The following is a 14,649-nucleotide window of genomic DNA, read 5'->3' as shown; positions in this document are numbered from 1 at the left end:
AGATTTTGGTCATTAGGGGAACTGGAATTAGAAGAGTGGAGATGGCTCTGCCAAGCCCAGCCATAGTGCTTGGGGAGATAGAGCATCCTTGGATAGAGTTGTGTGATGGGGGTGGGTATTTCATTTAAGTGGCCAGGATTTACAGAGAATCACTTAGGGGCAGATATTAAAGTGCCTAGTACAACACACTGCCCCCATTCCTTTTTTTACAAGTGAGAAAACTAAGGCACAGGAGGGGAAAGGGATGGGTCCAAGGTTGCAGTGATAGTTCTGGAATTCTGATTCTTTAGATAGGGCTCTTGCCTGCTGTAACTTGCTACCTCCCCTATAGGTTTCTGGCTCTATGCTCCCTTGGCTGGATCAGAGACCTGAATGCTCTTTCAGGTTTGGTTGGAGAAAGCAAGCTGACGAGAGGCTGGGAGAACAAGAGCTTTATATAACCTCCTGGAGAGGGAGCAGGCCTGTTAGTAGTCCTTGGAGTTCCAGGGAGTAGGATGGGGATGAGGGGAACACAGAGTCTCCTGAAGGCCACATTAGCTCTCCTGAGGCAGAGCAGTAGATGCAGCCCTGTGAGTGGCCATCTACCCTCAGGGCCCAGAGGAGGCCAGCACTGCACATCCATAGCCAGCTCTGGGAATGGCTTTGGCAGCTGATTTCTCCGCCTGCCTGCCTTCATTAGAGAAAGGAAAGCCATGTACCTCCGTGCCCAGCTGGCTGCAGGAAGGATGTACTAAGAGCCCACCCCCCACCCCCTCAGAGTGTGGTGCCTAAAGGCAGTAGCTACTTTTAGCTGAACCTCCCACAGCCTCTCCTCCACCCACTCTCTCCCTCCTCCCTCTGTGAATTGTGCAGGATGGCAAGAAGGCTGGGGAGTAGGTGCCTTGGCATTGGGATAGAGGCAGAGGAGGAGCTAGGCATCTCTAGGAGGGGCTCTGATAAGCCCTGCATGGCAGGAGGGCTTAGAACAAAAGCAAAATGATGAGATTGCTTTGTGCTTAGGACCCAAAGGGAGTTGAGGGATTTATTAATTTCCTTTGGAGCATGCAACCAGCTGAAGTTCATGTCTTGTAAATTTAGACTGAACTGCATGGGAAGACTTACACTCTACTTGGATTAAGAGGAAAGCAACTGGGGCTAGTGGGTACTCACTTGATTCTTAACTACTCCTCTTGAACAGTCTTACACTTTTCAGTGGATTTTGTACATCGTCTCACTTGATTTTCTCTGTGGCCCTGTGAAGTGGGTAGGGCAGAGATTATCTCCATTTCACAGGTGAGAAAAAGAATGTTCAAAGACTTATTGTCACATAGCTGCTTCTAGCCTGGCCTTCTGGGCTTCAGCTCTGGAAGTTACAGTGCCACTTAAAGTCACTGCAGACAGCTATATTTTCTAGAAAAATAGGTGCTGGAGCTGTCCTGATTCTAATCTCCTCATTGTGGAAGCTGGGGAACTAGGTCCAGAGAAGAAAAGGACTTGCCCCAGGAAATGTAGTACATCTGTAGTAGTGCTGGAATTAGAACATTGCCATGCAAGGATGTGAATTCCTGGACCTGCAAGATGTGCAAGCCACTGTGGTCTTTCAAGGGTTGTTTGGGAAACCTGTGTGGTGTGATGGAAAGCAAAGTGTCACAGAACTAGGAGTTTGTTATTTTTCAGTTCAGGCAGAACTGTGGGTGACTGCCCCAGTGGAGGCCTGACACTCAGTAAGCCCTCTATAAAGATTTGGTTGAATGGAAGATGTACACATGAGTAAAAAGGAGGTGCAAATGTGAAGTCAGTTGCTGTGTGACCTTGAACAAATCCCATTGTCTCTGTCCCTCATTTCTGTCTGTCATTTTTGGAGGACTCTTTTTACTTCTCTCCCTTGGAAGAAGAAAGGCCCTGTGACCCGGCCCATGTCTTGGGTGCTTGGTGGAAAGCTGTTTTGTTTTCTGATTTTTGTTGTTGTTGTTGTTTTTAAATAAGCTTTCTTTTATTTATCCCAAGCTCCATTTCCCATGCAGTCACACACTCGCTGCTATGAAGAGCAGACTAACTTTGTCTCTCCTCATCTCCTGCAAAGTTAAAAGAGGAACTTGGAAGAAAGCCAAAATTAATTGTGTTTTTATTTAGCACCTTCTTAAGTCCATCAAGCCATAAACCACTTAGGCACATGGCAATTAAAAAACAATTCTTGGCCCCTAGATCCTTGGCTAGGATTTGTGATGGATTACTGGGTTTTCATGATATGATCAAAAACTGTTTTAGAAATTGCAGGTTCTTGCCCAATGAGCTGTGTAGAACAAATCAACACTCTTCACTTATACTCGCATTATTTTGTTTGGAAACATCTCACTGATCTGGGGGCAGGACAAGAAGATAAAGACTACTGTATAGCCTTCTGCTCCTGACACATGTTCTTTTCTCCATTACACTATTAGGTGGCCAAAGCCAAGATTATTTTCCCAATTTTATGGCTAAGGAAATTGAAGCTCAGAGAATTGCTTTGATTGACTCAGGTCAGTACTGCATCTTAAAGTCAGTGGTGAGCTAGGAAGAACATAGTATATAGCGTTAGGTATTATCAACTCACCAGTACCAAGTGTCTCTAGGCAAGCCATTTAAGATTCCCTCTGTAGTTTGCTTCTGTCTAAGTATTTTGTTGTTGTTGTTTGTTTATTTTTTGAGATGGAGTCTTGCTCTGTCTCCCAGGCTGGAGTGCAGTGGTACAATCTCAGCTCACTGCAACCTCCGCCTCCCAGGTTCAAGCAATTCTCCTGCACGCCACCATGCCCAGCTAATTTTTGTATTTCTAGTAGAGACGGGGTTTTGCCATGGTGGCCAGGCTAGTCTTGAATTCCTGACCTCAAGTGATCCACCCACCTCAGCCTCCCAAAATGCTGGGATTACAGGAGTGAGCCACCACACCTGGCTCTAAGCATTTTTACAAAAGTTAATCAAGATAGAAGAAAGAAGTAGGCATATGCTACTGGATAATTGGATAGGTTGGCATTGAACCATTAATTGGTATTTTGGTGCATCTACTGGATCTACAATAAATTCATCTGGATATCACATTGTCCAGGGATACATGAGAGGCCTTTCAAAATGAAGAAAAGTGGCCCCAGATTCTGTAGTCTTTGGTGACCTACTTAGTTTGGACGCTTTCTCTCTGTGGGTTTATCTGGCCATGTTCTTAAAGACTGGGCCTTGATCCTAAAAGCAGGCTCTTTACCATTACCAGTTTCTATGGTCATCCCAAAGGATGGGGAAGAATGATTTGGATAAACTACATGTCATTTTGCCTGGGCTTTGGTGGAGATTGTATGCCATTCCTTTTACTCCAGTTGGTTCAGGCCACTGGGAAAATGAGTGTGGAATGACAAGAATAGGGAGACAACCAATAGCTTGCTGAGGGTTAGAGGGGGCCTAGCTGGGATGAGACATCTGCAGGTGCTAATCCACGTGCACATATCTACACACTGATTCTTTGTGGTGTTGGGGGGAGCAAGCAGAGTTTGTCCATAGTACTTCAGCTGAGAAGTGACTGGGTAACAGTGAGAGGAACCCAAGCATTGAGCTCGTTCCTTCAGTGTACTTCTGGGGAAACTGAGGTCTAAGGAGAGGCAGGAACTTGCCCAGAGTCTCAGAATTTGTCCGTGATCTTTGCCTATTCTCTCTAGTCAGCCAATGGCTAATTTACCTTACATTTGTGAGGCTCTTTAGATGAATGAGGGGTGGCTAAGCCTCTTGGGAAAAGCACCTGTGATTACCACATTCAGGAAGTGACAGAGATGAAATCTGAACCCAGGTCTTTTGTCCTGCTTAAGAGCAGATTGACCCAGACTTGAAGGAAGGCTGTTAGAAACAAATTGATGGGGAAGAAAATTGGTTCAGCTTTGCTGTCTATCCATGCTCTATGCCCGTACCTTCACATACACATACATGATAGATCATATGTGATGCACACTTACACATACTCAGACACATGGGATGTATTTGGGACACACATGGGACACACAGCTGGAACATATTTTCACATTAACACACTTGGAACACACATTCAGTTAAACATGGGAGGAATATTCACACTTGCACATTCTCAGCACAGGCAGGATACACACACAGGAACACACATGAGGGATACTTGTACGCATCTGCATGTGTGAATGCACATGGATGCATATAAGGCACAATTGTGCACCCACATACATATGGGGCATGCTGAGATGCACTCTCAGATATACTGTTACCCAGGACATGCACTCCTATACCTGAGATACACACTCCTAAAGACTACTTGGGCAAACAACACTCCACACTTGAGTGTTGAGTCACACTTGAACACACCTATGGGACATATCCACATGCTCCACACAGCCATGTGGGACATATTTTGATGCAGAACACGTCCTTCCCTTAGGGCCAGCCAGCTGTCACTTTTTCCTAAGTGGGCATGACAGGGAACTGGTCCCAGCTGGTGGGCCTCCATAAGTTTGCTCTGGCTCTCCTTTAACCTTGAAATTAGACTTGAGAGGGCAGTATGCTCAGTAATAAAATGGATGTTCAAGATGGCATGTTTTGTAGCAGGCTCTGTAAGGTAAACAGGGTTCAGAGCAGAGCCCTCAGATGTGAGTTAACAGGCAGATGCAGAAGAATGGAAAACACAAATTGGGATTGATCAATGCAGAAAGCTTGAGCCTGCTCCTTCATCCCCCAGTTCACTTACAAACCATTGTGGAGTGATATGGTTATGAAGCAATGTCAAAGAAGGCCTAAAGTCACTGGATATTAAAGTTTATCTTTCTTGGGAATGAAATAACAGTCTGGACTAGAGCAAAGATATCTAAATTGTGGGTGTTAGGGTGTGAGGGGAAGTGGTAGGATGCATAAGCGGGAGATCCCTTTGGGCAGTGGCCCATCCTCTCCTGGGTTAGTGGTGGTCTGAGACCAGCCTCATCCTTAATGACCACAACCTAGCCCCTAGGCACAGCAGCTTGGGTCATCTGGCCCCACTAATGAATACCTGCTATTTTTAGAGTTCCTCAAGCTGGAAACCAGGTCATGGTGTCCTGGGGAAGCCTTTGTGGTCCTTGGTACCTAAGGCTGAAGCTGGAAAGACAGGGCCCTAGATTGGGTCTGAGTGAAGGGTGGGAAGCAGGGGGACACGTAGCTGGGGAATACCAGGCTTTCCTGGGAGCAGCATCCTCAGAGCCTCAGTTGGGTTACTATTAACTATAACAGCCTCATGCCCATTTCTCAGCTTTGGCTTTGAGGTCAAGAAACATGAGTTTCAGTTGCTACTCTGCCTCTTACAGTGTGTCTCAGTCACGTTCCCCTCTGCTGTCTGAGTCTTACTTGCTTTATTTATAAAACATCCAGTATTGCCCTTAGATGATGGAAAGGCTCAGCTAGGCTAAGAGTTGAGAAAATGTTTTGAAGATACACTTTTCTCCATGCATAAAGCTGCATCATCATTGTCCCTAAGCTGGATTCAATTCCTGCCAACAATTGGACCTGACTCCTATTGGAGTAGCTGTAGACAGCAAAGGCCAAAAAAAAGGAGCCAAGAGAAGACACCCTCATGGAGTCAGGTTGGTCAAAGTCATGCTGAGATTACCCCCACATATACAGATGCTTTTCAATGCCAGGTCAGTCATTCTGGGAAAGAAAACAGATTTGCAGCATTTAGGTGGTCATGTAGCTTTGGCTCCTCAGGAATCTCCTAGGTAATGAGAGAAGGGGAGGCATCAGGAGCAGGGATTTCTTCCTAAACTAGGAAATGCAAGACCAGGTCACCTGTACCTGCCACCTGCCAGAGGAGGCAGCCTAGAGTGCCAGCTCTGGCTCTAAGAGAATCCTCTTTGTGTTTGTGCTCATGGCCATTTTATCTGGTTTGCTGAGAGGGAGAAGGTCAGAAACTAGACTATGTAGTTCAAGTTTCCCCCTGCTGCAGACATTGTGGGCAAAGTTCTCCTGACCCTCAGTTTTCTGGTCTGTGGAATGGGCTTAACTGTAGTCTCTCATAAGAGTTTTAAGTGCAAGACTTCATTGTGACATAGGATGTGAAAAGTGTCTTGTAAAATGTTGAACATGTGTTCCTGCTGTTTGGATTGTTAAGATTTCATCCAGGTTGTAATTACACATAGTTTGGAGGTAATTGAGAAACTTCACTTTATTTCTCTACCCCTTTCCCATACCGTTCTTTTAAGGCATTATTATATCCATTTTACAAATGGGGATACTGAGGCTCAGAGAAAAGAGAAACAAGTCTGAGGTGGCAGGATTAGGTGGTGGTAGATTCAGGACTAGAAGCCATGCTTTCAGATTCCCAACCCAATGTACTCTGGCCCTGGGCTGCCACCAATGAATTCCAGTGCTAAAGGAATCTGCCAGAGGTTACTTAAGTAAATATATATAAAGAGTTAGATTTTTCTCTGACAAGCAGTACAGGGGGTTCTCTGGGGCACAGCTTTACCCAGCACTCTCCCTGCTTGCCCAAGAGAGACACGCTGATTGTCCCTTCATCCCTCCTACAGCAGCTCATGTCCTGCTGTCTCCTGCATGTTGGAAGCAGTGAAGAATTGGAGATGTTAGGCTGTTGTGAGAAGCAATCCTTCTGCCGGTTTAAGCCACTTCAAGACAATAGGAGGATTCTTGGAGGCACAAAATCCACCTTGGTCACCCGCACCTCCTCACAGTTTTTTGGGTACCCCTGACCTGCCTAAGGGGTTGGCTGAAAGGGATCTAAGGAAATATATTTGAGGGCCTTGATCTCTGGAGGATTGTGCTAATAGTTGAGGGATAAGATTATGGAAATAATCCAAGAACCAAAACTGGGAGTGTCTCTGGAGACCATTTGGGCTGAATTTCACCTGGCCTCAATGAGGACATTAAAACCCAGCTGGGCTTACCTTTTCTCCCTTAGTGTGGTTTTCCTTTGTACACCACAGATTCTCGTGTTCAGTCAGATTTCCTGGAGTCTTTCTAGCTTGCTTGTTTTTGCTATTCTGAGCCCAGAAGAGGGAAGGGGTGACACATTGAGTGGAGTGGTGAGAGGAAAGAGATGGAGGAATCTGATGAGCTCAGGCCTTGAGGGGCAGGCATTGGAGGAAAAGGGCTTTTGTGTCTCTCTTCATTTGTATTGCTGCTGATGCATTATTTTCCTATCTTCCACTGATTGGCTGTGGGAGCCTAATCCAATCTGTTGTTATCTTCACTTTTGCTGCTCAAACCTCCAAAATGACTACAGTATTCATTTTGAGGGATGTCTTCTGTGGGATTGGATAAGCAGTGGGGCAGGGAAGTGGGGTGGGGGGAATGCGGTGCTTCAGGAAAAATGGGGAGAGGAACTTTCTTTTCTTCAAATTTGAGAGCCCAGAGAAGTGAATAGGAAAAGGTTAGCTGGCACAGCCCTGCCAAGAAGTAGCCATGCAGTTTCCTAATCTCTTTTGACCATAGATACCTTATTTTTAAAATTTTATTTTTGGATAGGAAATATATTCACATGTTTCAAAATTCAAAAGGTCCAAGAGAGTGCACAGTGAAAAGTCTCCCTTCCACTCCCTGCCCTCTGCAGAGGCCACCAATGAGTCCTTCCAGAAAAATGTTATGTGGATGTATAAACAAATATGAATATATTCCTCTTTCTCTTTTTTATGGTAATATACAACACATATTGTTCTGTACCTTGCTATGCTTTGGAGATTCTTTGATACTTCATTGAATTTCACCTTTTGGGGATGTGAAGATGTGCTGTGGAAAGTAGAGGTTAAGAGCACTGATTCTAGAGGGAAACTGTCTGGGTTCAGGTTTGGATTCTGGCTCTATGAACTTCAACAGTTACTTCATTGTTTTTCTGAACTTTGGTTTCCTTATCTTTAAACTAGGGATCAAATGAGTTATTATATGTAAAAACTTAGATTTGTCTCTGACACATAGTAAACATTCAATAAATGTTAGCCATTTTTTATTATTAGGAAAAAAACCCCACTGGACCAGCGCCAGTAGATCTAGGTTTTCTCCTGGCCTCTGTGCTCCTGGGATAGCTGGGTAACTTCCTTTGTTCACAAATTAGTTTCCTTACCTTTAAAATGGAACAACTCATCCCCACTCTGCTTATCCCCAGGATTTCTGGGTGGGTCCAGTGAGCTCATGAATATGAAGGCAACTTAGCAATTGTGATGTTCTGAGCAGATGGAAGAAGTGCAACTTAATATTTTCATAGACACTACTTTGGGTGGCTTGAACCCAGTGGTCTGAACTGGGTGGAAAAGGCAGTGTTTTTCCTTCTGCCAGTGGAACCCAAAAGCCATCCCTGTACTGGTGTTGTATTTTGAGTGGGAGATAGCCCATGGCAAAATTTTGAAATACTCAGGTTTTGTCTTCTGACCTTTTTTATTCCACCCCATCCCTCTCCTGACTTCCTTGTTTCATTTTTTTTGGGGGGCCACCCCACCCCTGTCAAAACCTGCTTTTAGAAGCAAAGCAGCAGCATATGTCAAAGATGACCTCAACTTTCCATTTGAAATAATTTAATACAGCTGGCTCAGAGAGGCGCTGGATCTGCCCAAGTTCATACAGCAAGTCCAGAATCAAGCTACACCTAGAGCTCATTCTTCCCATCCCAGTTTTTATTACTGACATTTGCATTTTAGTGTGAATTTGAATTTGAGATTCCTTAGCAAAAATCATCTGGTCGTGGGGGAGATTCTGGAAGTATCTTTACTAATCCTTCATACTGAAGTGTTCTTATCTTTTAATCTTCAGGGTCAGACCTGTTTGGGACCCTGAGCAGGGAGGGAAAGTCAGGTTCTGGTTTTAGTACTGAAGGGATGATGTCTATAGAGCAGTGGGAGAGAAGAGCACCAGAAAATGTTGAAAGCGGTAACCTCCAAGGTGAGACTTAGGGAGAAAATATTAGTTCTTTATATATTAAATTGTTAATCTCATTGTTATTTAATTTCTATTTTGTGGAGTTTTTTTTTATAAAACACATACTACATTAATATTTAAATATTGGGATAGGTGTTTCTTGTTTTGTTTTTTGTAAAATAAATTTTATTGTGTATATTTGAGGTTTACAACATGATATTGTAATATAGATAGATAGTAAAATGGTTACTGTAGTGAAGCATATCTGTCATTTCACAGAATTACTTTTTTGTGACAAGAATAGCTAAATGTTTGTATTTTTGTTTTTAACATTAGAGGTACATGATCCAAAAACTATTGGCTACCATTCTTCTAAGACTATAGGCTTGGTTTCTAATCTTGGCAGCTCTGCTGCTAACTAACTTGATGCCTTAGGAAGCTTTTCTCATTGGAGCCTCATTTTTCTTACCTGTAAGAAAGGGAGGACTGAGCTAGGTGTGCTAACTAGTTACTTGGAAATCTCCAATCCTGACCACCTCTGAGTATAAGAATCCACTGCCTTTGGGGCTCTTGAGCTGAGACAGTTAAAAGGAGTTCAAGCCCTGACACCTTACTAGATGCTTTATCCCTCTATCAGCTGCCTTGGTTTCCTTCCCTTCTCTACCCCCACCACTTTCACCTAGCCCAGACTGGTAGATGCTTCCTTACATAAGTTTAGCGAACCTACTTGACATTGTTTTGTTACAAGCACAACCACTTTTCCTGTAGACACAGACCTGGTGCCATCCCTTCTGAGCTTTGAGGGTGTGTCTGATTTTGCTTCTATTTTGTCCTCTCTGGCAGCCTAGGTTTAGTCGTTGTATCCCTCTGGCTAAGTCTTTGGTTTCAAGGTCTGAGGGGAAGCCAGCTCAGCCAGTTTGAGTCCCTTGGGGCCTGACCCAATGGCTGCTCACTGAATCCCTCTGCCACTTCCTCATCCAGGACTGGGCTAGACTTTTTTAGGAGAACATAGTCCATTCCTGAGCATAAAAGGCTTCTGACATGGACTAGAGGCATTGCTAGGTGCCTTGGCCTTGGCTGGATGTCTTTTCTCTCACAGTGAGCCAATAGGTAGAGGGAAATCATTGCACCACTGGAAACTATCTTCCACTTTTTGATGGGCTGTTTAAATGCAGATGTCCTCTCTGGGCTGTAAAAACTCCCTGGGAGATACTTACATTCTCTTTGGAAACGTATGCCAAGGTCTAGAGTTTTTGCAAGCCTGTGTCCTTGCTGGGCATGCTCAGTAGACGTAAAGGTGGTTTCAGTTAATTGAAATATATTCATTTTTCCTGCTTCATCTCTAGATATAGGAGCAGGTCACAGTGCTCCTAACTAAATGTTGTTTCTGTTCTTGTCACTGTAAACCAGATGGTCACATTTAACGACGTTAGGACCCTTAGTTCCAACCTATCTCCTCCCCTGCTCCTCCCGCTACCTTCAGCTCTCCTTTCTCTACAAGATTTTAACACGACATCTGACAAATGGATAAAAAATGAATTTCCCTTTTTCTCTCTGCCTTGCCCACCCACCCTCTGCCTGTGGTGTTGAGTATAGAACCATGCATGTGGGAGTCATGGAGGACAGATTCTTCTTGTAGTTCTAGCCCCCTCCTCCTACCTTCTGGAAACAAAGGAACCCCACCCCTGCCCAGAAAACTCCAAGGCCTGGCTTCAAGTCGTAGTCCAGGAAAAGTTAAAGCTCCCAGGACTGGTCCTAAGGCGACTACATGAAGAAATTCAGGAACCCAGATGCAGACCTTAAGATGAGTTTAGGTCGCCTAAGGGATCTGTGGCTCTTAGAGCATCCCTGCATATTCCCTAGGTTTGTCCTGGTCAGCTCCCATATCTCAGGGTAGTAAGGCAACAAAAGTCTCCAGTGGGTAGCTGGAGCTCGGCATTCACACCAAGTCCAAGAAGACGAGCATGGCTCCCAGGGCAGGGACATTTTGGGTATAAGACCCACGCTGGCTCAACAGATGGGTGAAGGTCAGGGTAACCTCAAGCTTGAGATGGCATGTTCTGACTCAGGAACTCATGGAGAGGGCATTGCTGAGTCCATTATTATTATTTTTACTAACCATCTGTCTCTTAGAATATTGGAGGTTGCCTTGGGGAGATTTAATACAGCTCTAGGAAATTTCTTCCAGATTATAGCATAGAGAGATGCTGCTAGGACTTGCTGTTAGAACTAGTGGTAGCTTCAGTGCCTGAAGGTTGGGACGGGAATGAGGGTGGAACAGAGCAGAAGCAAATAGTCTCTCAAGGCAGGCTGGGAGAAATCCTCTCCGACAGGCCACCGTAATTCCTCAGCCTTTCTGGAATCTGACACAAGAAGGATAAGCCTAGAGTTGGAGTTCCAGAGATTCTGGTTTCTTTTGAGTGGCCCAGTGCAGTAAGAGGAAATTCCTGCAATATAAACTCTCTGGTCCCAGAAAGATTAAGACAGTTGGTTTCAGTGTGGCACGTGATTCAGAATCACTCTGGTTGCTTGTTATTAATAAATATGGTACGGTGGTTCTGAGCAGGGGTCTGTGGACCTCACATTAAGAAACAGTGTTGTAATGCGTCAGAAGTGCCAAAATATCCCAGAATAACTTGACAATTACTCCTGTTTCCAAGATATTTTGTAGATACAAGCTAATGTTTATCAGATTGGGAGCTGTTGTAGTATATAGGACCTTCTCTAGCCAACATCATCTAGGTTGGCCATTCAGAAACATGTCTTCTCTCTGATCTGTGCAATCCTTGGCCCATTTGGCTGCATTTTCTTTAAAGGGGATCATTCTCTAAACAAGACCAAGTTCTTAACATTGTGAACTTTGAGGCAGCAGCTGGGTCTCACTTCAGAAACTCCTGGGCCCATTTGGCTGAGCTACTGGCTTGGGTTTCTTACCATCTATTGCTAAGGTCCAGACAAGCAAGCAACAACCCTTTTCTCATCTGTTGGGTCACCATTAGAGCAGAGATCACCTTTTAACTTCCTTTGGAAGAAGTGCAGGAAGAAGCTGTTCTTTGTTATTAGCCTCAGTGAGAAAATATTCTGGATGGCATCATGCCCTAAGGGGCTTCTCTGGGTTTTCCAAGCTAAAATGTCCTAAAAGGTCCTGGAAAGTGTGAATCGGCTTATGACCACTGTTCATATTGGGCTCTAGATCAGGTGGTCTGTCTTGCTCAAGGCTGACCCCATCTAGGCCTACCTTTTGTGTCTGCCAGGTGTGGCTGAACAGTAGATCTTTCATTTTATTAAAGTGAAAACTGGATAGTATAATGGGATATTGAAGGAAACTGATGTGTAATGACTCACAAATCACACACCCAAATTAGGAAAAAGATGATTTTGTGTCATGAAAAAATATATGTACATACTTCCATTCAGCATATTTAGAGTCATTATCACTTGAGTGCATTAATTATTCTGCCAAGAAATGAAATTATTTACTTGTGGGCAATAGCAACACCCACATTGAAACTGGAAACAATCAAGTGCAAAATGTTAAAACCTGAGGAAAAGAAAAAGCAACTCTTGGGATGTTTTTGATATTCACAGTGGGATTTTTCTTACCTAGCATCTATCTCTGCCTCTTTCCCTGGTGATCACTGGGCACCAGTGCAGATCTTTAGCAAAAACTGGCCTGCCATAGAAGCCACCTAGCAATAAATCCTGGCAACAATGGACTGGCATATAGGGCAGCTGGGTACATATTATGTAAACAATTTCCTTGGCCCCATAAATTGTTCTGCCACCTGACAGAGATGCTTACTCTATTGCTGTGTTCTGCCTCAGAGTTTGCTTGCTTTTAGAACTCAAGTCAGAACTTTAAGTGGAGTATACACATTGTTCATTATGGATTAAGCTTATGTTTTAGACCTATCATTCAGAAGTATATACTCTGGTTATTTGAAGAATAACACTCTGGTCAGCAACTTGAATAGCTCTTCCAAATTTTTGTTTTCTGCTTATCCTAGGTAGATAAGGTTACTGAAAGAGGCAGAGAGAGAGAGAGGATGCAGCCTGGAGTCATCAGAGAAGGGATTACGGAGTAGGTCGGCCACAATCACACAGCTAGGAAGAAGCAGCCTGGCCCCAGTGTCGCTACGTGTAACCATTGGCTAAGGATATGGCCAAATCAGAGGCACAGAAGTAGGATTGATCATTATTTTATTGGAGGCAGTAGCAGGCCATCCAGTGAAATGTTGAGCAGGCAGTAGGAAATGTGGGACTGGAGGTGAGTGACAGCTGATGTCATGAGAAGGATGCAAGAGACTCATTTTGACAAGAGTGGTGGAAAGCCCCTGCCTTGTTAGAGGTAAAGGTTGGATCCAGAGATGAGGCTAGATTAAGGAGAGCTTTGAGATAGTGGGGAGTTACTGAAGCTTCTTGAGCTTGAGGAGTGATACTAGCAAAAATGCTTTAAGATTCGCATCATTAAGGCATAGCTTGAGGAAGGGACAGACCTGTAAGGGCCAAGGAAGCCGGTTGGGAGACAGTTTGAGCTGATGAGGACCAGGATAAGACAGTGGGAATGAAGAGAATGCGTTGTATCTGAGAGGGAGAGACATGAAGAAGAAAGAAATAGCAGGGCCAGAAGATTTTCCTTAAATGGGAAAAATTGAGAAGGAGGGAGAATGGGGGAATATGATGAATTTTGCATTTTATTGGAGGTGGTAGCAGGCCATCCAGTGAAATGTGGAGCAGGCAGTAGGAAATATGGGACTGGAGGTGAGCGAGAACTGATGTCATGAGAAGGATGATTCATCTGAAGAACTAAGTGGAGAGAACAAAAAGCAAAGGTCCCTATTGACTTTTGAATGCGGCAGTCAAGGGTTTAAGTGGGAAGCCCACTTCTCAATTTTCCCAGGTAGTCTGACTGTGTTGCCAGCAATGCTTGAGTGAGTTATCTTCAGGAAAAAGTTCTCATTTTTTTGAGCAGAAAGCAGTAAAAGCATCCTATCAAGCACAAAGAAGGGTGAGGAGAATTAAGCTGCAATAATGACATCCCCGTCCTTTGCAGAGTAAGTGTTAGCCTCAGTAGAATACCAGAGCTGGAAGGGACTTGAGAGGTCATCTGTATGGTTCCAGTCTGTCACTTGACATGTAAAAAAACTGAGACGGGCTGGGTGCGGTGGCTCACGCCTGTAGTCCCAGCACTTTGGGAGGCCAAGGCAGGCGGATCACCTGAGGTCAGGAGTTCAAGACCAGCCTGGCCAACATGGTGAAACCCTGTCTCTACGAAAAATACAAAAAATTAGCCAGGTGTGGTGGAAGATGCCTGTAATCCCAGCTGCTTTAGAGGCTGAGGCAGGAGAATCACTTGAACCCGGGAGGTGGAGGTTGCAGTGAACCGAGATTGCACCACTGCGCTCCAGCCTGGGCAACAGAGCAAGACTCTATCTAAAAAAAAAAAAAAAAAAAAAAAAAACTGAGACAGGGAAAGGGACCTGTCCAAGATCATTTGGTGAGTTACTGGCAGATTTTCTTCCAATAGCCAATCTGAGTCTTTACTGTACACCATGGTACCTCATAGCTATTGTTGGGGCAGCCTGGTTCACACCTTCCCAAAAATAGGGAGGATGATTATCCTTCAACACTTTGGGCAAGATAGCCAGAGCGTTTTCAAGGCTGTATTAAAAGGAATCTAGCTTTTTCAGGAGAGAGCATAAAATCTCAGCTTGTTTTAGATATGCTTAAGGGAGCAAGGGAAAATAATTTGCTCTTGCCCAAGTTTAGCTGTTCAGGAGAAGGGGGCCTTCTGAG

General features: G+C 44.4%; 1 protein-coding gene across 27 annotated transcripts in view; it reads left to right on the top strand.

Annotated features, from left to right (window-relative positions):
• ARHGEF9 (Cdc42 guanine nucleotide exchange factor 9) overlaps nucleotides 1-14,649 on the top strand; it is a 150,248-nt gene that overhangs the window by 39,348 nt on the left and 96,251 nt on the right. Inside the window, exon 3 of one of the 27 annotated variants that reach the window (NM_001369037.1) lies at nucleotides 13,557-13,861. The exons of 25 other annotated variants lie outside the window; for them this stretch is intronic. The gene's annotated coding sequence lies outside the window, so the exon portion shown is untranslated. Of the gene's footprint in view, nucleotides 1-2,420; nucleotides 2,499-13,556; nucleotides 13,862-14,649 lie in introns of all 27 variants that reach the window. One more of the 27 variants, NM_001369036.1, reaches the window with a different exon arrangement.

The sequence above is a fragment of the Homo sapiens genome, chromosome X, assembly GCF_000001405.40.
Source record: "Homo sapiens chromosome X, GRCh38.p14 Primary Assembly".
NCBI classification, from domain to species: domain Eukaryota; kingdom Metazoa; phylum Chordata; class Mammalia; order Primates; family Hominidae; genus Homo; species Homo sapiens.
The sequence above is the reverse complement of the archived record's forward strand: the minus strand, read 5'-3'. Positions and strand labels throughout refer to the sequence as shown.